Raw genomic sequence first — 25630 nt, forward strand, 5'->3', positions numbered from 1 at the left:
TCCTAGCCCTGCTAGGAGAGGCTGCAATGCTCCCGGCATGGACGAGAGGGGAGCATGGAAGCCCAGAGTCCCTGCCACTGCTGCTGCTGCACAAAGCCACGACAACTGGTGGCCACAGGCCTTGTGTCTCTCAATCAGCAGCCCCAAGAAAGGTCTCTGAGAGTGCGCCATTCTCTTTCTCCTGAGCTTGCTCTTTTGCTTACCTTTAGACGATGACTTCAGCGAGAAAGACAGATGAGCAAATGTCACTTTCATGCAGATAGTTCACCCAACTGCATAAGTGCTCTCAATGGGAGAACTTTCAGCACACTGAAGTCTATTTAAAAATAGTGGGAGAAGGGAAGTTACTTCTCTTTTAAAAGTGCTAATAATAATAACATTAATACGAATTATTTGTAGAGTTATGTGACTGAACATATACATTTTTTTGCAATGTTGTCATACTACTATTAACAACACTGCTGCTGTCATGACGGGAGGGCTGGGGGCCCAAACAGCCTGCTCTGCTGCCCCTGTCATCCCAGCATCCCCCTGGTTAGCACTGCCTTTCATGCATAAAAATGTCCCAGGTGGATGACAAATGTTATGGTAACCCTAGTTATACACCATGACTAACTCATCTATGCCTACGACGAGTGGGCAGGGGGAGGGTTTGGGGCCAAAGGGGAACAGGGACCTGAATTTCAAAGGCTGGAGAGCATTCTTTAAATTGTGGCCATTCCCGGCTTAAACTGTTTAGATCCTGGATTAGCAGAGGGGACCTGGGTTTAAAATGATCAGATGGTGAGGGAGAGATACATGATTTATAATCGGGGAGAGATGCATGGTTTATAATTGGGGCACTATTAAGAGTTCTCCAATGGCAGTTTGAACTATGTTACTTCTTTCTTTTCTTCCTTTTTTTTTCTTTTTTTAGACAGAGTCTCACTCTGCCACCCAGGCTGGAGTGTAGTGGCATGATCCTGGCTCCTGGATTCAAGCAATTCGCCTGCCTCAGCCTCCCGAGTAGCTGGGACTACAGGCGCGCGCCACCATGCCTGGCTTTTTTTTTTTTTTTTTTTTTGTATTTTTAGTAGAGATGGTGTTTCATCATGTTGCCAGGCTGGTCTTGAACTCCTGACCTCAAGTGATCTGCCTGCCTCGGCCTCCCAAAGTGCTGGGATTACAGGTGTGAGGCACCGCACCTGGCTGAACTATGTTATTTCTAAAACAGCTCAGTCACCTTCATGAAGGACTAAAAGAAACTGGACACAGAACCTGGGATACACTTGGCCTCTCTTTTCTAACATCTTTTAGTTAGGTTTTCCCTAGCCCTCTCCTTGTGGCAAATTTCTGAGATATATTTCACTGAAGTTCAACTTTTCTTGACAGGCTAGAGAAAATATTGATGAAGCCAAGGTCATGGGCCTCAGAAACCCAGCCCCACAAGCAGAGCAGGAAAACAGCTCCATGCCCTCTCTCCTGACTCATAGAGGGCCTGGGGATGCCACAGGTCTTACTGTCTCCTCTACCAGAAAGAAGAGGGTCGTGCTAGCAGGGGATGGGAGACAAATACTCAGGCCCTGCTGGTGGGGACACACTGGTTGCCTCGTAGAGAAGTGCAGTGTAGCCAAGGCTCTGTGTTGGCCTATGAGCAGCAGCTCCACTGCTTGATATCATCTCCAGAGAAACACTTGTGACATTTACATGGAGGTGTGTACTACGACATGGTCAGCAGTGCAGTTTCTAACAGGGACAAAGTGGCAAGAGCTGAATGCACGTCGACAGGGATGTGACTGCTGACTGTCTTTATTCAGCCCAGACGATGAGGTGATGGTGAAATAGAACAAGGCAAATCCTACAGGAATCAGCAGGAAAGGGTCTCCAAGATATGTAGATAGATGAAAAGGCTGCAATGTGAAGCCCAATGAAACACATGAAACTATGTTTGTGTTTTTCAAGATGACATCCTCTATGGAAACCCATTATTTGTGAAGTTGGTAACCTCTGGGGGATTTGAGAGGTGATGTATGAAAACTGTGGCTGGTGCAGGGTCATCAAAGCAGACATTAGCCTTAGCTTTATCGAATATTTTAAAGCTATTAGATAATACATGTAATTCATATAATTGCATGCGCAGTTACACATTATAGTTAAGAAGTCATGGCTGGGAGAAGCTGCTGATATGTTATCAGTCACAGTGTAGACATCTTGAAAAAGGATCTCGAGAAAAATGAACTTCCCTTTCTTGTACCTTAATGCTCCTATTTTAGGGGCCAATTTTAAGTAATAACTGGTGCTTTTGGAACAACCAAGAGAAAAAGAGAGTGCCACCAAGTCCTACTGGCTTTAGCCTTGGCCAAACCCTTCCCGGCTGCCATGTGGACTTTGCCAGGCTGATTACTAAAGACATGGTATAGTCTATTTCTACCTTCCAAACCACTTCTAGCCAGCTCTTGCTTTGCTCTTTCTTTAATAAGGAGCTGGAGGAATGTCAGTTCTAAAGTGATCAAGAAAAGAATGTGAAGCTGTGAACTGTCCATTTGGTTGCTGACAAAAAATAGATCTGATATCAAGGGGGCTGACATCTGAGCCCTTGGCTCATGTTCCACCTTCACGGGAAGATTCTCTGCTTGGTGTAGTAAACAATTGAGGGATAGAACTAGGACTAGAAAAATTCAGTCTAAGAGTGGCTTTACCACTAACCAGCTGGTCCCACCTCTCTAAGCCTCAGTTTCCTTACTTGTAAAATAAAAGGGCTGAGACTCGATCTCTCCAGTGCCATCCAGCTCCAGGATGACTCCTGTTGATAATGACTTTGGTTGGAAACTCAATTTGGAGTGTTCCTCTCTTGTCTCCCACTTAGCACTAGACTTTTTCTGCTTCTATGACAGCCTTTCCACTGTGCCCGAGACCTAGAACATCTTTCTACCTGTCTGATACCTTGTCTTGATACCTTGTCACGTGCAGCCTAAAGGCACCTTGTTCTCAACAGACCAAAGGCAGAACTCTTAGCCCCACCACCCCACTCAACATGGCAGAGCTCCTGGCCCCACCGCCCCACTCAACATGGCAGAGCTCCTGGCCCCACCGCCCCACTCAACATGGCAGAGCTCCTGGCCCCACCGCCCCACTCAACATGGCAGAGCTCCTGGCCCCACCGCCCCACTCAACATGGCAGAGCTCCTGGCCCCACTGCCCCACTCAACATGGCAGAGCTCCTGGCCCCACCGCCCCACTCAACATGGCAGAGCTCTTGGCCCCACCACCCCACTCAACATGGCAGAACTCATGGCCTCCTGCTACCTCACACCTGGGCCTCTTTCCCTGCTTCTCTACCTCAGTGAAAAGTACTAGCTTCCATCTAGTTCTACCTGGGTGTCATCCTGACACAGCCAATTCCCCACATCCATGTTATCACCAAGCCTTGTAAGACACTCTCCTAAATAACTCTAAAAGCCACTCTCACTATCCTCAGCTTTATGTATTTCTAAAACCAACCACCTCCCTAGACCCAGCTACTATCAACTCTAGCTTCCTCTCAAATTCCATCCCCGTACTCTGTGGCCAGAGAGGTCTTTAAAATAGACAACTTGATTTTGGTCCCTCATGGCCATCAGGACAAAGGCTTCCCATGGTTTATGGCTGTTCAAGACAACAGAAAGACTGCAGTTTAACCTGTTGGGCCCAGAGATCCCTGCCCAGCCCTCCAGATTCATCTCTGTTCTCCAGCTCTGCTGACCTGTGAGTTTCCCTAACAGGCTTAGCTTCTTTCCGCCAGAGAGCTGGCAAATACACTATTCCTCGCTTGGAACTGCACCACCCTCTGGCTACTCCTCAACTTGGAACTGCACCAACCCCCTGCTGCCACATGCTCACCCTTCAGTTCTCAGCTCAAGTGTGCACGTATCACTTTTTCAGTAAAGTATTCCCTGCCTTGCCCAAATATAGGGTGGCTTCTTCTGCTGTATACTCAGGGGGAAAAAAACAAAAGAACATCTTTCTTTTCCAGTGCCCTTAGCTTAGGTTATAAGGAGACCTTCCTTAGCGCGATGACTCATTATTTCCAGATCCCCCTCACTGCATGCATTCACCATTGTATTCCCAGTGCCTCGCAGAGTACAGGACCTAGAATGGGCATCCAGTGCAGTTGTGCAGACCAAACTCTACAGCTTCTAAGGCTTTCCATTAAGAATCCACTAAAAGAGAACTGGAAAGTGAAATTAAAAAGAAAAATCCAACTCGACTGCCAACTCCAACTTTATTTTAGGCTCTTTCTGCATGGCTGGGCTCCTCAAACTCCTGCCCCCTCACTCTCTCACCTCTTGGCCATTACCACCACCATACCACCACCACCACCACTGCTATACCACTATCATAACCACCACCACCACATCACCATCATCACCACCACCACCACACCACCATCACCACAATCACCACCACCACCATCAACGCCACACCATCACCACCACCGCCACACCACCATCACCACCACCATCACCACCACCACCACACCATCATCATCACCACCACCATCACCACCACACCACCATCACCACCACCACAACACCATCACCACAATCACCACCACCATCACTGCCACACCACCATCACCACCACCGCCACACCACCATCATTACCACCACCACCATCACCACCACCACACCACCATCATCACCATCACCACCATCACCACCACACCACCATCATCACCACCACACCACCATCATACCATCAGCACCACCATCACCACCACCATCACCACCACCACACCACCACCACCACAATCACCACCACCACCATCACCACCACACCACCATCACCACCACCGCCACACCACCACACCACCATCACCACCACCACCATCACCATCACCACTACCATCACAACCACCACTACCATCACCACCAATGCTACACCACCATCATAACCAGCACCATCACCGCCACCAGGCATAGTCACTGGTCAGCTAGCAAGCAGAAGGAGGCAAGATTTATATCCAGGCCTGTGTGATCCCAAATCTGGCTTCTGGTTTCTCACCTCCAAACTTTCTGTTGAGCCCTCTCATAAGATACCATCTATTTTCCCTTTGAAGCCCACCTAAATACTGTCAGAGAAAAGACATTAGAGAAAAATCCCTTTAAAAACAGATATAAAACGAGGGTGCCCCCATTTCACCCTTCTCTCTCCTACACACTTTCAGAGGACAACGCAAGGCATAGACAAAGGATGAAGTCAGAGAAAGCCAAAATAAGTAACAAAAACATCAATCTAACTGGCACTACTAACTAGAAGAACCCAAAAGAATAAACTAAAAATGATTTTAAAATATAAAAAGAAGTCCAGATTTACCAAATATCACAACTGTAAAACCCAAAGGACATCGAATTGGAGGTTCCTAGATTTTGAGATTTTAGACCAAAATCTACGAACAGTGGCATAAGCCACTGTGCCCGGCCAGACCACGCTAATATTTCAAAAGAAATGTGTGGCACTCACATCGGGTTGCCAGCTGTTTTGCTTTTTTTTAAAAAAATCTGCTAGATAAAGTCACTGAAAACTAAATAAAAGCAAAATTTAAAAAACAACATCAGCGGGCGCAGTGGCTCATGCCTGTAATCCCAGAACTTTGGGAGGCCGAGGCGGGCAGATCACGAGATCAGGAGATGGAGACCATCCTGGCTAACATGGTGAAACCTCGTCTCTACTAAAAATACAAAAACAAAATTAGCCGGGAGAATGGCATGAACCGGGGAGGTGGAGCTTGCAGTGAGCCGAGATTGAGCCACTGCATTCCAGTCTGGGCGATAGAGCGAGACTCTGTCTCAAAAACAAAAAAAAACAAAAACAAAAAAAGATCTAAAATCTTTTGGGGAGGGTAGAATTCAAGCAGTTTTATTCATTCATTCATTCATTCATTTATTATAAGGATTTCTGATTTATTTATTTTCAAAGACTCTAAAATCTTAAAGCAAAACAAAACCCCTAATTATCATCTACAATCCTTCTAGAAAGAAATGATATCAAAATTCTAAAAGGCAGGAAGCTTATATAGCCTCAAAATCAAGAATCAAAATCAAAAGTCCCTCCCCTGAATAAATTTGGCTTGATGAAAGCCCCACTACAACATCTTTCGTTTTCTCATTTCACTGTGGACTGGCATTTGGGAACCGCTGACTTAGTTCAACTCTTTCCCTGATGAGGTAGTCTCTTCTACCAAATCCTCCAGAAACCTTCTCTGAGTGTTTGCCTGAGTAGGCTGCTGGTTGCCTCAAAAACCAACCAATTCTGAAAGTGGCAGAAGATGAGAAAAACGTACAAAAATCAATACCATTTCTATAAATACATAATAAGAGGCCTGAAAATATAATTAAAAAAAGAGTGCCCACTCACAATGCAACAAAAGCATCTAATACTTGGGAAATATATGATATATATTCACATATCAAACTCACATAGGATATATTAAAATTACATGAAGAAAACACAAATCCTTAATGAGAGAAATAGTGACCTGAACAGATTGAGAGGCCATACTTCTGGCTTAAGACTAAATGCAGAAAAGATGATAATATTTCCCAACTTAATTTATAAATTGAACGCCATTCCAGTCAAAATATCACCAAGGTCATTTATAAAACTTGATAAAAATGGTTCTTAAATTCATATAGAAAAATAAATGGACAAAACATCAGAGAATGCTGAGATACTGTGCAGTGAGAAGGCATTTGCCCCAGCAGATCTTAAACTACAGTCTAAAATCATCATTATTAAGGCTGTAGGGCAGTCACGCTAAGATACTGGGAAAATGTCGCAATTTCACTAACTGAGCAGGAATGAAACCACTAGCAATTAAAACTACAGAACCCACAGAAGGCCACAACACTCCGAGGACAGAGAGATGTCTTGCAAAACTCTCTTATCTCAGTTGTGGACAGGAAGCTTTTGTTTTTGTTTTTCTAACTAACTGAGCAAGGTCAAAAATTTACGAAGTGACAAGATGAAGATTTCCTGACAGCATAAAACAAGCCTCTCCTTAAGTATTTTCCAAGGTTCATCTCAATCCCCACACAGCACCTCATTCCTAGAATGCTTATGGTCAAAAATCACACTTTGGAAGTTAATTAAATTCCCGTTGTCCTCTAATTGTGAGTGTGAGTGTGTGACACAGGCTGGCGGCTACAACTCCTGTCCCAGAGGCTCTTTTGCCAGGGACCCTGCACCATCTCCACCAGGTGCCCAGGCACTCAGGAGGCACTGCTGGACTTCTTGCTGGGCCATTGGCTCCCTAAATACACAGATTATTGCTTAAAGGCGAGGATCTCCTCCACTTAAGTCAAATCTCACATGCCTCAATGCCTTTTCTTTTTATATGTGGCTCCTCACATGCCTGAAACCAAATCTGCCATTTGGAAAACCGGAAAGTCTTCTCTTGCTCCTCTTCCCTCCCTCCTCAGTGAAGAGCAGGGAGAGAAGTGACGGCTGCTTCCTGAGGGAACTTCTAGACCAGTAAAGGGAAGGACTCCCAATTTATGATGACTTTTAGCCGAAACAATGGATGGGGAAGCGGGGGTCCAGAAGTAATCACCAGCCTCCAGTGCATTCTCATTTCTGACGTTGAGAGGCCCTTCTTTCATTCTCCTGGCTCCATGATATTTTATCATGCACAATGTATGTCACTCATGGGCCCTATTAGGAATCCTATCATCCTAGCAGTGGAGGTGACCTTGTAGACCAACCCATCCAACACCTCAGGGTTCTCATACACAAGGAAAGAAGAAGTGGAAAGAAAACCCTGATGTGGAAACCAAGTATCCACCACAAGGAAGCCAAGGATGCACCCGGCTAGGGCACTGATCTGATTATCAACTCGTCCAGATCAACCCCACACACACCTGACTGAGACCTAAGGGGTCCACACATCCTAACACCAGCACGAGGCAGGACCTCATCTTCACTGGACTGTCTTTTAGAAAAATGAAGCCAAGCGAAAATAACAAACAAATACCTTAGAATTCTCTTTAACGCAAAGCAATGCTACAGTGAATGACGCCGATTTCTCCCCAGTTATCAGGATGGACTGATTACAGTGCCCAGATTCATTTGCCTGAAGATAATTGCCTCAATTATCCACTTCACTTTGCACATATAGAAATAGTCCCAATCTACTGGAGCCTCAGTGACTAGACATGTAAAATTGGTCTAATCATATTTTGAAGAGCTCGAGCTGCAAGGATTTCTATGAGCGTGTGCCTAAACCGTGACAACACTAAGGGTTTCTCCCCTCCGGGCTCGAGGCGCGCTCGCTCTCTCCCTCCCAGAAGTCTGATGGGGTGAGTCAGATCCTCAGCAGATAAGATGAAAACAACTTTGAGGCTCTCTGTCAGGGCTAGGGGCTAGAGGAAAGATAGGATGTCCAGGACAGCTGGACAAAAGACAAAGCTATGAGCCGAGAGCTTTCCTGACGGTTGAGTGGTCCTTTGCAATCAGCAGTGTTTTCACCCACAGCTCACTGGCTGGCATGGCTGCTGGTGGGCAGGGCAGAGGTGGACATCTGGGGCCAGAACCCCGTAGACTGGGGGTGTCCTGGGACAATGATGTCTCAACTGGCTGCAGGAAAGAACCAGACAAGCTCAGTGTAGGTCCGGCTGGGCAGACAGCCGGAACTCAAGATGAAGCAAGGCAGGGTGTCAGAGTCCAGGGTCTGAACCGGAGAATACAGAATGCCAAGCTCCAGGGCCACGGGAGAGAAATGAGACACCACGTCCAAGAGGGCCTGTACCCCTCTTGGGTACTGATGCTTTGCCTGAGCAAGGGGGCTTCTAGATGCTTCCCGTTGGATCCAGAGTCTAGAAATTGCTCCTCCTGTGGCAGAGGGAGAGAGAGGGAGATAGGCACTTATCAGTAGGAGAAGCTCAACAGAGCACGAAGTGAAGAGAAAGTAAGGGAGCTCCTGGGAAGACAGCTCCGAGCAATCTCTACGCACAGAACGAAGGCTCCTTTCTGATCCTACGCCCTTTAAAAACGAATGGCACAAATACAGTATTGTAATCCCAAAAATGGCCTGGACAGAAACCAGCCATGTCAAAAAGGTGATTATTTCCCTCTATTGTTTGCTTTTAGCTCTAGATGGCATTCCCCCAAATCTCAAAATCAGGAGCTCGAGGTTTTCACCATTTCTACTGGTGAGAGCCAATTGATATCAGCGCAGTCTGAATAGCAGCAAAATAGCACCCTAGAGAGCTGAGCCAAATGCTTCTGCATTGTACCTGGTCCTCTCTGGGGAACAGGCGGGAGGGGCCAATACCAAATTCTCGGTGGGGTTGAGCCTTACTGGCTGATTGCCACAGTGAGGGGTAGCGAGTGCTGCAAACTCCCTGAATTCATTTCTGTCCAAAGGAAAGTTGGAAAAGCTCTTCATCTCCAAAAATAGTCCTTTCCAATGATTATCCAAAAAATATCTTCAAGAGTGATTATACCCGCTCACCAGGCAGGGCAGAACCAATCCATTATCTTGAGTTTCATCTTAGAAAATGCATTGAGGTCTGTGGGACCTCTGACAATAGCCTGCAAGCCTTCTGAGAACCCATGATTCATCTGTCTCCCCCAGGGCCACTGGCACATGGCTTTGCACACGGTAGACACATGGTTAGAAACAAGTGGATTGAAAGCAATTCTCATGGGCTTTTAAAAATCAAAAGAAAATCTCAGAGTCAGACTAGGTAAAGACTCATCTCTTTCTGAAAATCACAAGATGAACTGTACCTCTGATTCTAACCAGTTACTCAACTTCCCTCCCTGTCTATCTGGGCTGGAATGTATTACTCTACACCTGTCAGCAATCTGGTTTTAATATTTGGGGGCACTTCACATCAATGTGTGTGATGTTGGATGGCAGGAATTGCTCATCCTCAATTACTTCGATCTCCCCACAGTGCCCGGAATAGTGTCTTGATCATAGAAGTGGCTCAATTTATGATTGCTAAATAGCCAATTTCATTTGTAATTTCCGAGACAGCTCCAGGAGAGGAGGCAAAGAGAACCAATGTAATTAACAGATGGACTTGACTCATTTCTTTGCTTCAACAAGTGATGAGTTGTGGAGCAAAGAGCCTCCACGCCCTGCCTTGGTGAGGAAAGCTCCACAGGCCGCTGGGTCCATTGCACACATCTGTTTGCCCTGTCTTAAAACTGCCACCCCAACACTCCTTCCTGTCACTGAGCCACTTGCACTTTCAATGCTTCCAAAATAGTAAAAAGTGGGGGCGGGGGGGAGGATCGTGTCCATCAGTAGAGCCCCCAAACCCTTCTCCCACAGCCTACAGAGGCCTTCAATGGAATCAGAGGCTAACCTGATAAGACTGCGGTGGGCACCGAGTTCCAACCCCACTTGCTCACGCACACCACGAAAAACATCTCCAGTGTGTGGTTACCTGTCCTTTGACTTCACATTGCTTCTGACAAAGCGCCAACTTTCTGACAGCCCACTCCATGTCAGATTCTTCTTTGGGTTGCGCTGAAGGCTTTCTGCTACAACTACCACCGATAGGTTCTAATTTTGCCCTCTAGAGCCATATATAATAAATCTTAAGGCCTCTTCCACATGAAAATCCTTTAAGGAGCTAGAGACAATATTCTTCACAATTTATCCGAATCAGAAGCTTACTGTATGATACTGTAGTGAGCTGGGAACTGCGCTTTCCTGTCCAACTGGTTTAGGAGCCTCCCTCCAGCAGAGACCCGCAAGTGATATATGCCCATACTTTATTTACCAGCAGACAGAGAGAGCCCCTTGTTCCTCAGCCCGGTAACAACAGAGGTGGTTCATCACCCACTTGCTCCTTTTTGAAATTCACTCTGCAGCGAGCACTTTTTAAAGTCACGCACGTAATGCATTTTAAAGAGCATCTGCTGTACGGCTCCATTTGCTCGACCTCGGCACTAAGTGTGAGATGGAATGGCATCTCAGTGCAGTCCCCCACTCCTTCCTCCCAGAGCCTGTGGTGAATGTACACTGAGATGTATTTATAACTACACAGGACTGGGGCTCAAAAATGCAGTCTTTTGTTAAATGTGTGTTTGCTGATTAAAATGCATCTTGCAAAGAAAGCGCATTGCTAATGCAGAATCTAGTCCAAATATATGTATTATGTAATGCACATTTTTTAATAATGCAGGCAATCTCGGTGTATCTATATTAGTGAATCAGCTCTGGGCTGCCATCTCCTTTATAGGCATAAAAGCACTCCATCTGAAGAATGAAGTACTTTCTTATGTACACTAAAGAATCATAATCTACCTCGTTGCTGACAGCTGACATTAGTTTCCATTCAAAGGGCATTTACTAGCACCCATATATTCCTGATTTTTCCCCCAACGTGCCCTGAAATCAGCTTGAATAATATATTTCTGTTCCATATGCTGTCGATGGAGCTGTGCTAATTAGAAGAAATAAAGTGGGTGGGTCAGTGTAGGCAGACTCTCTGGAAACGTGCCCCATTAGTTGGGACTCAGAAGCGGAGATGAGGATTTGAAATATACAGCTCTAAATGCCCCTGCCCAGTGTCCCATGATAATATCCACACAGTGACTACAGCCACGCAGGCACCTGTGATAATAAAACCCTTGCTGTTCCACAGGAAAAGTGGTAGAGCAGGGCACAACTGGAACATAGACATTTGTCCTTTTGTGGGGTTTGACAAGTCAATCCTACTTTATCAGACTAACCTCCCAGGTTCAAGCAATTCTTGTGGCTCAGCCACCCGAGTAGCTGGAACTACAAGCGTGCGTCAACACGCCTGGCTAATTTTTGTATTTTTAGTAGAGACAGGATTTCACCATGTTGGTCAGGCTGGTCTTGAACTCCTGGCCTCAAGTGACCCACCCGCCTCGGCCTCCCAAAGTGCTGGGATCATAGGTGAGAGCCACCATGCCCAGCCCAATCACTATTTTAATGCTACAAACTAACACAGAGTGCAAGATACAAGCTAGACACAGCCAAGATGCAGAAAGGAAAACCTCAACACATCCAAAGCAGTTGCTGGTCTCTCACTGGGGTATGAACTCTGCACTTAGTGGTTTTAATACGGGTGTGGTGTTGAAGGTGTGAGGTTAAGTTCCATCATGGTGAGAATGGCTGTGGGTACCTGACTGACTCTTCAGACACCAGGCAGAAGTACCAGTACCAGGAGGGCCTGGTGGGCCACCCAGTGGTAGAGCCTCTTTTTTTAAGATTCCCCATACTGACTCAAGAAGGAGAAAAGGACCACAACCCATGACATGTGTCCTAAGTGAAACAACCTTCTTGATACTCCCAGGGATTTTAGGATGATGGCTTTGCTCTGAGTTGTTTCGCCTTTGGACTTGTCACTATGGCCAAAAAGGCACCCCATAATCATCATGGAGGGCCAGACTGAAGACACGCACACCTCAAAAGCAGCAGCCAGGTTAGCTCCCACTGTAGGGATCTCCTCCTGTAGGCCATCATTTGATTTTCTAGGGCCAAGAAAGAGCGGCACTATTTACTCCAAATCTTCAGCCTTGCAGAGTACAACAACACGATCTAGTGGTGTCTGACCGCCCCCTAGCCCTGATCCAATCATTTTCTCATGTGGAATTCAAGCTAGATTAAACAATGTTGGTGGGTACAGAGGGATTCTGACTGATTCAATCTCCTGATTCACAGCAAATTAATCCAAAATATCCTTTCCTTAATACAATACTTTTGTTGTTGTTGTTCACTACTCTACCTTCAGCACCTAAAACACAGCTTGGCACATGCAAGGCACCCAATGAGTATTGCTGAGTTACCTTTGTTAAAAACCTATCTAGGAGCCGGGCGCGGTGGCTCACGCCTGTAATCCCAGCACTTTGGGAGGCCGAGGCGGGCGGATCACTTGAGGTCAGGAGTTTGAAACCAGCCTGGCCAATATGGCGAAACCCCTCTCTACTAAAACTACAAAAATTAGCCGAGCGTAGTGGTGCACGCCTGTAATCCCAGCTACTCAGGAGGCTTAGGTAGGAGAATCTCTTGAAGCCAGGAGGCAGAGGTTGCAGTGACCCAAGATCACATCAGTGCACTCCAGCTTGGGTGACAGAGCAAGATTCTGTCTCAAAAAAAAAAAAAAAAAAAAAAAAACCTACCTAGGAAATGGCTGTAAGGGGCCTCCAGTGAGGATTCCGTGTCACCCTGAACTGCCCCGCAGGAGAGAAGTGGTTGTGTGAACTGAGAGCGCAGGAAAGACTTCCCTTTACCCATGCTCTCAGCTCCAGTCCACTTCCAGCACCACCTTCTCAGCTCAATCGAGCTCAGGGCAGTCCTCAGATGGGCTTGCAGACTTGCAAACTACTACCTCAACCGTGGGGGCCCTTGTTGAAGAAGATGAGGTAATTAGCCAATTCAGACTGTTTGAGCACGTATTGTTTGGAAACTTTTCTAATTACAGTCACTATAACAGATCTGCTAAAGGTAGTTTCATGATTAATGGCTGCCCGAAGTTACCATCCTCAAACTATTAAGCCATTGGAAAATGCTAGAGGCTTAATACTCGTGTATAGACAGACCCTCATTCCCCTGAATATTTGCTATTTGGGGTTCTGGGTTTTTAGCTGCTCCCAGGCTGTGTTTATTTCCCCAATAACTGGGGAAACTGGGGAGGGGCACGACCCCACGGGAGCCTGCGCCCACCTGCCCAAGTACTGGACCTGGGGCTAGCTTGCCGCTTGCTCCTTGCCACCCGCCAGGCCCCCCGCCCATCGCTTCGCCCAAATCCTTTCAAACAAGGTTCCCTCCTGCCACCTGCCGGCCCACTAGGGTCTGCGCCACAGGCTCGGCGCCACCACGCAGCTCGCGGGGAGGTGGCCCCCACCTCCTTACTGCACATGCCCGGCAGAAGTCCGGGCGCGCAACTTCGCAGAACCTCACTGCCCGTCCCTCCTCGCCTCAGTCTCCTCTGTCCTCTCCCAGGCAAGAGGACCGGCGGAGGCACCTCTCTCGAGTCTTAGGCTGCGGAATCTAAGACTCAGCGAGAGGAGCCCGGGAGGAGACAGAACTTTCCCCTTTTTTCCCATCCCTTCTTCTTGCTCAGAGAGGCAAGCAAGGCGCGGAGCTTTAGAAAGTTCTTAAGTGGTCAGGAAGGTAGGTGCTTCCCTTTTTCTCCTCACAAGGAGGTGAGGCTGGGACCTCCGGGCCAGCTTCTCACCTCATAGGGTGTACCTTTCCCGGCTCCAGCAGCCAATGTGCTTCGGAGCCACTCTCTGCAGAGCCAGAGGGCAGGCCGGCTTCTCGGTGTGTGCCTAAGAGGATGGATCGGAGGTCCCGGGCTCAGCAGTGGCGCCGAGCTCGCCATAATTACAACGACCTGTGCCCGCCCATAGGCCGCCGGGCAGCCACCGCGCTCCTCTGGCTCTCCTGCTCCATCGCGCTCCTCCGCGCCCTTGCCACCTCCAACGCCCGTGCCCAGCAGCGCGCGGCTGCCCAACAGCGCCGGAGCTTCCTTAACGCCCACCACCGCTCCGGCGCCCAGGTATTCCCTGAGTCCCCCGAATCGGAATCTGACCACGAGCACGAGGAGGCAGACCTTGAGCTGTCCCTCCCCGAGTGCCTAGAGTACGAGGAAGAGTTCGACTACGAGACCGAGAGCGAGACCGAGTCCGAAATCGAGTCCGAGACCGACTTCGAGACCGAGCCTGAGACCGCCCCCACCACTGAGCCCGAGACCGAGCCTGAAGACGATCGCGGCCCGGTGGTGCCCAAGCACTCCACCTTCGGCCAGTCCCTCACCCAGCGTCTGCACGCTCTCAAGTTGCGAAGCCCCGACGCCTCCCCAAGTCGCGCGCCGCCCAGCACTCAGGAGCCCCAGAGCCCCAGGGAAGGGGAGGAGCTCAAGCCCGAGGACAAAGATCCAAGGGACCCCGAAGAGTCGAAGGAGCCCAAGGAGGAGAAGCAGCGGCGTCGCTGCAAGCCAAAGAAGCCCACCCGCCGTGACGCGTCCCCGGAGTCCCCTTCCAAAAAGGGACCCATCCCCATCCGGCGTCACTAATGGAGGACGCCGTCCAGATTCTCCTTGTTTTCATGGATTCAGGTTAGTTGCCCACCGCTAAACTGGGGAGCCTGAGGGCGGTGTGGGAGCAGCGCAGGTGGAAAGGAGGTGAGAAGGAAAGGCAGGTCAGGGGCGAGTGGGAAGAGAGGAGGCTCAGCTGGTCAGCCTGGGATCGGGGGTCAGGGTGAGGCGGCGAGGGCTCCCCCAAACTTCCCAGGATGCCAGGGGCGCCCTGGTGGCCAAAGGCTTGTTGGACGGCGGGGCGCACGCCGTGCGTCCCGCTGGAGACAACCTGAGGTCTCCGAGCTGGTGCCCCGGCTACGCGACTGAATCCCGAACGCACCCCAGATTTGGAGCTGCACACCCAAACGGCATTGGTAAGTCACTTGTTTTGCGCGCTTTTCTTCCTCCTAGAAAGACTAGTCTCAAATAAGTTGGCCTTCTCAGGTGTCCAAAATGTGGTTCGGAGGTGCGCGCGCCAACTTTCACGATGTGAGAGCAGCCGCGCTGTAGAGACACCGTTGAAATGTGCGGAAAGTAATCTGAATGGGAATGGGCGAGAACTCTAGAGACTGACCACCCGGGAGGGAAGTCACGCGCGCGCGGCGCCTAAGCAGCTCAGAGCCGGAGCCCAGGTCCCAGAGCTGACAATTAAGCCGCGGGACCTCCGCGCCAGTGCCTCCAGCTGCCGTGCGCCAGCCTTGGCCGCCACAGCCCGCCTCCCGTCGCTCGCGGGACAGAGACCGCCTCAAAGAGCGTGCGCACCTGCCCGCGCGCGCCGGAGCTGACCTCTCCCGGCGGCGGGCGGTTAGGGGAAAGTACCTGGGGGAAAGGTAGAGGAGGTAAGGGGACCCTTGGGGATGCCCCTACGGGCTACCAGGGTTGAACGCACAGGCATGGTCACGTCGGGGTATTGCCAAGCTTTTGGCGCAGCTGGTCGGGTGGCCAGGCTGCATGCGGCTTAGCAGGAGACGTCCTGGGCTGTTTGCGCAGGACCTCTGGAGGCCCTCGAGATCGTCGCAAGTGGAAAGGTAAAGCGGAACAAGGGACAGGCTGGAGACGGGGGTCGCGTCTAACATCAGGATAACTTACAATTCGTTTCCAAAGAGCGCGGTACGCGCAGAGCTGGGGAAAGGTGTTGGATCCGGCGCCAGTCCTTGGACGATCAGTCGTCGAAAAGGAGGCAGGGGCCGGCGGCTCCGGCAGCCTTGGGGAGGGGAGGCGAGGCGGCGTGCTCCGGCCATTTTCAGCACGGGTAGAGTTAAGTTTAATCTGTAACCTGGAGGGGAATCTGCTCTGATGACCCAGCACAAAAACGGCAGCAATCTGGTAACGCACCTTCGGAAGGGAAGGCGTGCTCTCCTCGCCAGTCCTGGGGGGAAAGACTGATAAGTGAAATGTCTTTAAAAAATCTCATCCGACTTGGAAATTGATTTTTTTTTTCCTGGTGTGCGTGTCTCATTTTGCGCCGGCTTAATTATACGGATGACAACGATTTGGAGGAATAGTAAAGCGTTTTGAGGGCTTGAGATGAATGACGGTCAGGTTCTTAACTCCTAAGAAAAGGATGATGATAGAAGGAAAATACCTTAAATGGTCTTCCTTCCAGGACCTATTCCGTAGGAAAGGCGTCGCGGCGCCCAAGACTTAGTTCTGCCGGGCTGCAGCGCAGACTGTGGTTGGATGCTTTTGTGGTCTTCCCTAGTAAATACGGAGAAACTAGTTTATTTGCAAGTGGTTTTCTGCGACAGCAATGTTAGTCTCAGAAGTTTGGAGGCTGCGGAAGGGCTAGGCGTGCCCCGCTTTTGGCTTGCCCCTAAGTCGAAATTCCTGCTTAATGTAAACAATGATGGTGTGTTGGCTTTCTGTGACATTAAGTGTTCAGTTTTTCCTCTGGTAATGTCTCAGCCTGAGTTCACCAAGCAAAATGTCTCTAGGGACAAGCAAGAAAAACTAGGGATTGTGTTGAATTTCTTTGGTGTGCCTTTCAAGTGTGGGAGCTATCTTCAGACTGGGTATTCCGGGAGACCCGTTTTCCCACAGAGAATTATTCATTAGAGAAATGAGCATGTTGCCTTGTTGCAGGATGAATAAACAAGTTTTTTAAAAGCCCTCCGTGTCGAGCCCACACCTCACACCCATCTTGCTGTTTTTTAAACAGAAGCCCAACATAGGGATGTTTCCTGAACTGTAAGCAATGTACCATGTTCACATGTAGCGAGGAGGGGCAATCTAGGAACACACACTGTCTTTCAGACAGTCTTCCACAAACTGCCTCGCCATCTGCATTACAGCCCAATTGTAAAAACCTGTTACCTACCGGCACACACTCTCCCCCGCTCAATTCCCCTCCCCCGCTCAATTCTCCTCCCCCGCTCAATTCCCCTCCCCCAGCTTCCCTCTTTACACCCTGATTCAAGGGTGGAAAAGCCAGTGCAGACCATATGAAGCAACTGAGAGCTATACCAACCCCCGAGGAAAGCACCTATGGCCCTCCCTGAGAAGACAGGATTTTGCTATATAGACTTCGCAAACCTTCTCTCTGCCTGAGAGACTGGTACTCAGCTCCTTCCTTTTCCAGAGCCATTTTTAGCAACTTCCCCAAGCATTCCCAACTCACTAGTCTCCCAGCTGGCCCTTTGCCCCACCCTGCTCAACTGGGGTTAGCATCTGAATAGGCCCACTTGCCCCTTTTACATAGGTGAGGTCTGCGGGGTGAGGATAGGCTCCCAAGAAAAAGCAGATCTTATGGTGAACCACATAGGTGAATTACCAGCCACTTTTAATATTTCAAATGGAGGGTGAGGGAGGAGGAGGAGCAGGAGAATAAAGCTAGCTAAACATGATGATATGCCCCCAATATTGAAGTTGTTTCCTTTAGTACATTAATCATTTGCTTAATGGAAATTTGCTTTTGTGGGGGAGGGGAGGGCGACCCAAAGGTGCTCTTGTAACTGAACTTATCTGAGCTGGGAATTTATGTTGCAATGTTCCAATATTGTGTGGGGTCAACCTGATGTAGGTTTAAAGTTTTGCAAACAAAACTCTTTTATGTTCATCAGAATTCAAGAATTAGAAATGTTACAGTTTGGGATTGTTTTGAGATGTTTCTTTAATGCACTGCAAGCCTTTCTCACCCTGGAGTTGCTTACAGCCTTTAACTCTTCAGCCTTCATTTTCTGCAGCTGTGTGGAAGGTTAAGGAGGAAGAAAGCTGAAACTTCAGTGTTGGTAAGAATGAGGTTTTTTGGTTTTTTAATAATCTACATGGATTTACCTCAATTATCAGTTATTATTATACTGCTCTTCAAGAAGAGGGAAGCTTTTGAGAGGAAACTGAGCAGAAACCATGGTGTGAGTAAAGCATGTCTCCTAACTGCTTACCTGGAAGGTGACCTATCACAAAAACCAAATCACTAAAATAAAATTAAGCTTCCAGGCCAGTGATGTCATGTGCTGGCTCAACTGCTGCTCTTCTCTAAAAAATCACCCAGCAGAGGGATGAGATGCTCAAATGACATCTTTAATCCCCATGTTCAAGAATGAGAGATGGAATTTCTTGTTCTGTTGTGGGGTTTTGACACTAATGACTCTATTTCCTATAACTTGATGTCCCAAACTGGAGCAGTGGGATCTAAGACGAAAGGCCCAGGGCTAGCAGCCCAGGTTGCTTCTAGCCATGGTCAAGTGGCCTTAGGTCAGACCCAACACCCCTCTGCCTCAGTTTCTTCTAAAATGAGATCGCTGAATGAGATGATCCTATTTATCCCTTTCAGCTCCAAATGTCTAGATTGATTAGCTTAAGAAGCCTGGGGTTGTCCAATTTGACTCTACACTAGTGATTTAACCCTAATGGAACTCCCAAAAAACATCGAAAGTTGCTCAAATAAAAAGCACCAGCTAGGTATCGCGCCATTGCACTCCAGCCCGGCCTACAGTGTGAGACTCCATCTCAAAAAAAAAACAAAACAAAACAACAACAACAACAAAAAACCCCGAAAAACAAAAAAAGCACCAGCTAGGAAGAAATCTGTTTTGTGTTGGCTTCATGTAAATTTTGTCAAATCTGCTTTACAGTTGGTTGCAAAATGGTCTCAAAAGGCAGTTTAGAGAATGCAGAATTCCACTGTGTCCTTTCCCTAAACTGGAAACACTTAGCCATCCTGAGAGTCGTATTTAGTGTGTGTTTTACGTGTGTGTGTGTGTTCCCCACCTTCTGTCCCTGACCTTGGTGTCTAAGAACAAGCTTTTCAGAGCAGGAGCAGGCAGCAAGGTTGCAAGTACTGACCTAGTACTGCAGCTTGGAGAGGCTAACCACTGTGGGGGACGGCAGACTGATGGGAACATTGGTTGAGTGACCACAAGTGCTGTTGAAAGTTTTTTGGTAACAGTTTTAAGTGTTTTGGTTAAGCTAGACCTGAAAAAAATGGTATAGAAGCTACAGCTATTTGAGATAAACCAGTTTTCTCAACCTTTGTTTTTTTCATGATCACTCCCCTCTTCGCTTCTTCAGACATATGCTTCTTACTTGCCCCTCCCCATGACATTTTAATACCATGGACATACAGCTAGACCCCACTGTCTGTTTATGCACTGCAGGACCTTGTCACAGCTAAGACTTGTTTGCGCACCGCATCCCCCAAAACCAGTTTTGCCTCCATCATACATGCATGGGATAAACAAAGCAAGCATTTCAAAAACAAAAAAATCTGGTTCTGTCAAATTAAGTGATGTAGCACCCATTTTTGTTTTATAATTTCTTTCTTACATATCAAAAGGCCATATGTGGGGGGTGGGGGGCATAAATTTTTTACTGGTATTTGTTTTCTTTCCCTTGTTTAAAAATCTCATGAGTTTTTTCAAACGCCTCCAATAGCTATGCTGGTCCAAGCACTAGTGGCCATTAATTCACAGGGCAGAGAAGCCAGAATAAACAGCCTAGTGACTTAGTTCTCCCAAGGCCAAGAGCCTGCAATGCGGGGCCACCATTACCTGTTGACAGTGCTCAGCCAGCAGAGGCAGGACTCTGCCTGCAACTATTCCCGGGTAGAAATGGGGAGGCTGCCTTCCCAGCTCCCACTGGGCATAGCCTGTGTGTTTATTTTTTGTGTTTATTTTAGGGTAAGTATGTTACAAATTAGCAGGGCACATGGCTATGAGAAAGGCCAACATAAACCCAGGCAGCAGGGACAGAGGGTAAGTGGTGACAGTAAAGTGGGGAGAGATTTAAGGAAGACAAAAGGAAAAGAAGAATTTGAGGGATCACAGAAAAAAAGGAAGATGTGGGTAGATAAGAGAACCCCTGGGAAGGAGCAGAAAAGAAGATTTAGAAATGGGGAAGGGGGTCACAAAGCCAGGAAATTTGGCGGTTATAAAGAAAGTCGTTTGAAGGAATAAAGAGAGTCTTGAAGAGAGAAAGGTTGAGGGCAGCTTCAAGTATCTGGTGGCTAAGGGGGTTAGAACCAGGTGCATCAAGGGACAGACTTCAGCTCAACATTAGGAAGGGCATTTTTAAAAGCCAAATATGGCATTGGAGGGCTACCAATGAGGCTCACAGATTCGACACCATTAACATCACTGTCCCCCTGAGAGTTTCGTACAGACCTGGTCCAAAAATTCCAATTTCATAGGTGTGGAGTTTTCATACAAGTACTTCAATTGCTACACTCAAAGAGAAAGATTTAACACCTAGAAATCTAGCTGTCTAGCTCCAAGGCTAAAGCTTTGGGTTTTGGTTCACAGCAAGGTTGGTCTTCAAGGTCCCCACTCTCAAACTTGAGGGGTCCAAGGGGCACAGGCCAAAGACCGGCAGCCAGCAGAAGACCACGTTTCTTCTCCCCTCAACCCCATGTGAGAGCTGGTTTCTGAGTGTCCTGGCTTATGTCGCTGTCTTAATTAGATTTCATTAGGAAAATTTGCCCTGGGTAATTGAGGTTGTTCTAGAAGGTGAAATATACCATTCCCCTTAAACAATGATGCCCAGAAGCCCCCAGGGTGGCTGGAATTCCCACTATGAATTGCAGAAATTTTAAGCAGAGCTTCCACTAAAGCCAAATTTACCTTCCGAGATTCCCTCTTTCCCCTCCAACCCCCACTTTTGCCTCTCTCTTAGTTGCTTTCCCATGGTGCTGTTCATCTTTTCTGGAATGGCCTCTCCTCCCCTGAAATTCTTTGCTGCATCATCAGCTAGTCTGGAGAAGGAATCCACAAATGTCTGGACCCACTGTTCAAGCACAGGTGGTCAGAGGACAGTGGCATGCCTTGGCTGAAACAGAATTTGGGGCACCTTTTGAGAAGGTTGCTGAGCTACAGCTAATTAGCTGAGTGAAGGGGTCTGAACTCACGATGGGGGCTTTTTAATCTGAGCATATCAAGTATTTTCATAAAGACTTTTTCCACTACCTCTAATATCAGCCTTGCATCTGCCTCTAACCTGGTATCTTGCCTCATCCATTTGAGGCTTTTTTCCTTTAGCTGGCATTTGCTTCAAACAGCCTGGCCACGCAGACCCCTCTGCAGATAGCAGTATGCTGCTGCCTCCACCGGCCAAGGCGGGCAGAGGAGAGTCTGAAGGGAAAAGGATGGCAGCAGCAAGTCTTGATTGAAAAGTAATTAATTGTACAGCTTCAAAGTCTATTACTACTCACTCAGCACTCAGAAAACATTTGTCACTGGGAGGCTGAGAAGCTTCATAGTTGCCTAAATTCTTTTCTACCTTCTCTTTCTGCTTTTACTTTTTCCTCAATTGAAAGAAACCCACTGACAACCAATGACATGAATGGGCTGCAGAGAAGGCACTTCTGCAAACTTCACCACCCACCTCCTCCCTGCAAAGCCGCAGACCAAAAGGAAAATGACTACCAAAAAAATACTGTTTTTCGTGGTTTCTGTTCCCTTCCCTTTCACCCACCTCCCTTCCCTCTCTCTACTTTGCCTTCTCTTTGTTGGCTACAGGGATAAACCCAGAAAGCTGACAGGTAGCTACCTAAACTTGAGATATGCCTTATGCTTTTGGTAATGAGTAAGAATCCCAGAATGTAAGTAGAAACACAATTACTCGTTGAATACATATGCCATGAAAGCATCAATAGAGAGGTGAGACTGTTTGGGAGGCCCAGGGCATCACGTGCGGCTTCCAAGGAACGGGGCTGTAATGGTGCTGTTCAGAGAGTCAATGGTAAAGAAATACACACATTCTTTCTATTGGGGGTTCCATATTTTCAAAACGCCACTGTTTGCCACCTGTGGCACCTGGGCCATTTGGCTTTCCTCAGACATGCAGAGTTTAATGGAAGCATGAGAAATTCTTCCCATGCCTTTCTTAGTACATCAAGTGCAGACGCTATTATTTTTAAGTAGCCAAGTATACACAATTTTCAAGTAAACCATCCCTGGGTTTCGACAGCCAATCCTGTCCTCCCCTACTTGACACATCATCTCACTGCAGCCCTACACTCCAGCACACAGCCCCTCATGACAGGGGTCAAGACCCTGGCACACAGCGTCTATCCATCCCAACTCGGCCTTTTTTTTCAGGCACCAGCCTCTCCTGACTTCCTCTTCCTTAGCTGCATAAACACATTAATAGACTTTCCTTCCTCAGTCCTATCACATATTTATCTTTTCCCATGATGGCAATCCATCCAGCACTGGAAAGCTATGTTTAAGGTACTTTGCTATTATACAATTATAATGGCAGATCCTAAAAAAGCCCCGGCAAGGTTAGGCCCCAGACGATGCTGCCCACTAACATCCAGCACTGGCCATCTCCCTCCAGATCAAGGCCATGTTTCTGTCTTGAGCTAGCAAAATTATCAGCCTTCAGGAGGATCACCAGACAAGCCAACCAATCAGGCCAATCAAGGTGGACCCCAGTAAACCCACTAGCCGATCACCCCCAGCTCTTACTATACCGGATTCCTCAGGTCCCTGTGGCCTTGCAGGTGCCACAGGTGGGTCAACTCCTCGAACATTTGGCCACACTTCTGGGGTCCCTGACCCCATTACTGATGTTTCAGCTCTTAGCTCCACTCACCTAAAGGACTTAGGTTTTTCAGAGTCTGGTAGCCAGTCACTACAGAGAAATAACAGGAGTGGAAAAAAGGGGGAATATCAGGGTTAAATACTGGGATTTATTCTTCCTAGTCTTAATTTATCTTTAAATTAAGGCAATTCCTATTTAAATCTAAGGGTCCTTTCTCAGCTTATAGTGGTGATTTTCAACTGGGGGAGATTTTGCCCCCCAGAGGACATTTAGCAAAGTCTGGAGACATTTTTGGTTGTTAAAACTAAGGGGATGCTACTGGCATCTAGTGGGTAGAGGCTAGGGATGCTGCTCAACATCCTACAATGCACAGGGCAGTCACCACAACAAAGAATTGCCTGGCCCCAAATACCACCAGTGCAGAGGCTAAAACACCAAGTCTAGATGAGATGTGCTGAGTGGTTCTGAAACCCCTTCCTCTGGTGTGCTCCCATCTCTCCCTTCTGAGTCCTCCCTACTCACTCCTGGACTGTCTCCCTTTTTCCTGTCCAGTGCGCCAATTGTTCAAGATTCTATTACCAAATGTATTTCTCCCCTAAAGAGTTTTCTCTGACTCCATAAATTCATCTTTGTAAGTACGATTGCCAATTTGAATGTGTGATCTTTATCTTTTTCTGAACTTCAGACCTTTCCTCCCAGAAAATGGGCTGCAAAAATCTCCATCCCAACTGCCCAAAGTTCCTTAATCTGCCATGTCTAAAACCAAATCAGCACTGCCACCTTGCCAGCCCCTCCCACTGACTTCCCTGTCCCACTCCCAGTGTTCCATCCATCTGGGTGCCACACTTTGGCTCCTCCATCTTTTGTGTCTTTCTAGCATAAGAGCTGCTCCAGGAGGATCCTTTGGGACCCCTCTTGAGTGCCGTCCTTCAGCCTTCCTGCTTCCTTCACCGTGCTAGGTCTCTCCTTTAAACATCTCCTTTGTGCATAACCCCTTTCCTTTGTTCTCGATCAGGATCATCCTCCATGCTGCTTCTGCTTTTCCTAAAAGTAGGCTCAAATCCTCACTTGCAGAACAAAAAACTTTCAACATCCTTTCCGTTTCCTGCCAAAATAGCCTCAAAAGTGCTTGCCCTCATACTCCATGGCATCCTCAGAGAGATTCTATCTAATTTCTCCTAACTTTTCTCCCCCTGCTCCCCAAGAGCCAGCCAAGGTGGCCAGTTGTGTTTACCCAGCCACGCCCCATGTTTCCTACCATTAAATCCTTTGTTCGTGGTGGGCAAACCGTCTCCCATCCCCCACTACCACCTTCTATTCATAGCCAAGGCGTCTATCCTTCCTTGGAGGCCCATATAAAAAGTCATTTTCTCCAGCAAGACTTTCAAGGTCCCCCCAGGTGGAGTTCTTTTCTTCCATTTGTATGCTGCTCTACTCTCCAGGATGAGGAACTGGTATTTGTCTAACTTGTTAAATTTGTTTTAGTCACCTCCATGCATGTGCTCCCCTGGCAAAGCTCATGATATCAGAAAGAATGAACAAAGGGGTCCCACAGACCCATGAGGGTGTCGAACAGAGACCCTGAACCCGTTCCTCGACAAATGGTACTTTGGGGGTGAGCGCGAGGCCTGACGAAAGCAAACAACCCCTTTGGAGCACCCATGGCAGCCTCCCTGGGGCTCCAACCCCAATGTCTACTGACCTTCCACTTGTGCAGGCTCAGCATCCCTGGGGCCTCAACTCCTTATCCATCCTGGGCTGCTCCTCGCAGTAAGCCCTCTCCTTGGGGTCCTGGCCCTCTACCTCCCAGCCCTGGAAATCTTCTTGCTCCTCACCTTGCCCGGCAGTGGCACCCCGTTGGCTGGGTTAGCCTGCCGCCATCAACACACCCAAGGGTTGGCCCCTGGGACCCCACCTCTCCCCCGAGGCTCGGCAACCTGTGGCATGAGGAAGAGTGACCCCACGGCGCTAGCGGTCCTCGTGGTCTTCCAGGCCTAGCCGCCATACACCCGCCCCCCACCGGCTTCCAACCACCCCAGCAGCACCTCTTCGGGCGTTCCAACGCGGCGCCCCCTATTGGACCTCCCACCCATATCCGGTTTCCGGTCTGACGCCCCCTGCTCATTCGCCAGGCAGCCTTGATTGGCATGACCCCTGCCCAATGGCTGACCCGGCGCTGGGGTCGGAGGGGAGTGAGTTGGTGTTGGGACCCAGTTGGGCCATTCAGTGGATGCTCAAGTGGTTAAGCCGTCTTGCGTGGGTGTAGTTGGCCAAAGTTTGAATCAAAGTTCAGTGTTGACATCTGGAAGTGTGTAGACCCATAGAGCTAAAGCGATATATCTTTGGGGGATCCCAAACGTTTCCCAGGGTCCAACTGTGTTCGCCTCCTTCCGTGCTGCGTGGCCACATGGATGGTGGATGCAGGGGTGCAAGGATGCACGGTGCCTGTGGTACCCTGGCTCTAAGAGGGATGCATTAGACTAAACGGGATCGCAACTTGCGGTGGTTCGCCCGCCTGCAGCTCTTATACAGCAGCCCGTGCCGTGCGCCCTGCTTGCTGCAGCCCGCCCTGTGTAACTCATCCAGCCTCCCCTCCCCCAGGGTTCTGCAGGTCAGATGACCCC

At 48.4% G+C, this 25630-nt stretch overlaps 1 protein-coding gene and 1 non-coding gene across 14 annotated transcripts in view; one reads left to right on the forward strand and one right to left on the reverse strand.

Moving 5' to 3' along the window:
- The window catches only part of GNAS-AS1 (GNAS antisense RNA 1), a 31985-nt gene extending 6904 nt beyond the window's left edge, over positions 1 to 25081 (reverse strand). The window contains exons 1-5 of one of the 7 annotated variants that reach the window (NR_190185.1): positions 24842 to 25081; positions 23058 to 23096; positions 16612 to 16724; positions 16116 to 16395; positions 5850 to 8847 (exon numbers count right to left, since the gene is read on the reverse strand). This is a non-coding gene — a non-coding RNA (GNAS antisense RNA 1). Of the gene's footprint in view, positions 1 to 203; positions 317 to 5849; positions 8848 to 16115; positions 16409 to 16611; positions 16725 to 23057; positions 23097 to 24708 lie in introns of those variants that run through there. The other 6 variants (NR_185847.1, NR_002785.3, NR_185848.1 and 3 more) reach the window with 6 other exon arrangements.
- The window catches only part of GNAS (GNAS complex locus), a 71445-nt gene continuing 59741 nt past the window's right edge, over positions 13927 to 25630 (forward strand). For 4 of the 7 annotated variants that reach the window (NM_016592.5, XM_047440113.1, NM_001410912.1 and 1 more), the window contains exon 1: positions 13927 to 15065. In NM_016592.5, the coding sequence (NP_057676.1) occupies positions 14286 to 15023 (738 nt within the window). In that variant the 5' untranslated portion in view covers positions 13927 to 14285 and the 3' untranslated portion in view covers positions 15024 to 15065. Of the gene's footprint in view, positions 15066 to 15798; positions 16055 to 25630 lie in introns of those variants that run through there. The other 3 variants (XM_047440114.1, XM_047440122.1, NM_001309861.2) reach the window with 1 other exon arrangement.

Source organism: Homo sapiens, chromosome 20 (genome assembly GCF_000001405.40).
Source record: "Homo sapiens chromosome 20, GRCh38.p14 Primary Assembly".
Lineage (NCBI taxonomy): Eukaryota > Metazoa > Chordata > Mammalia > Primates > Hominidae > Homo > Homo sapiens.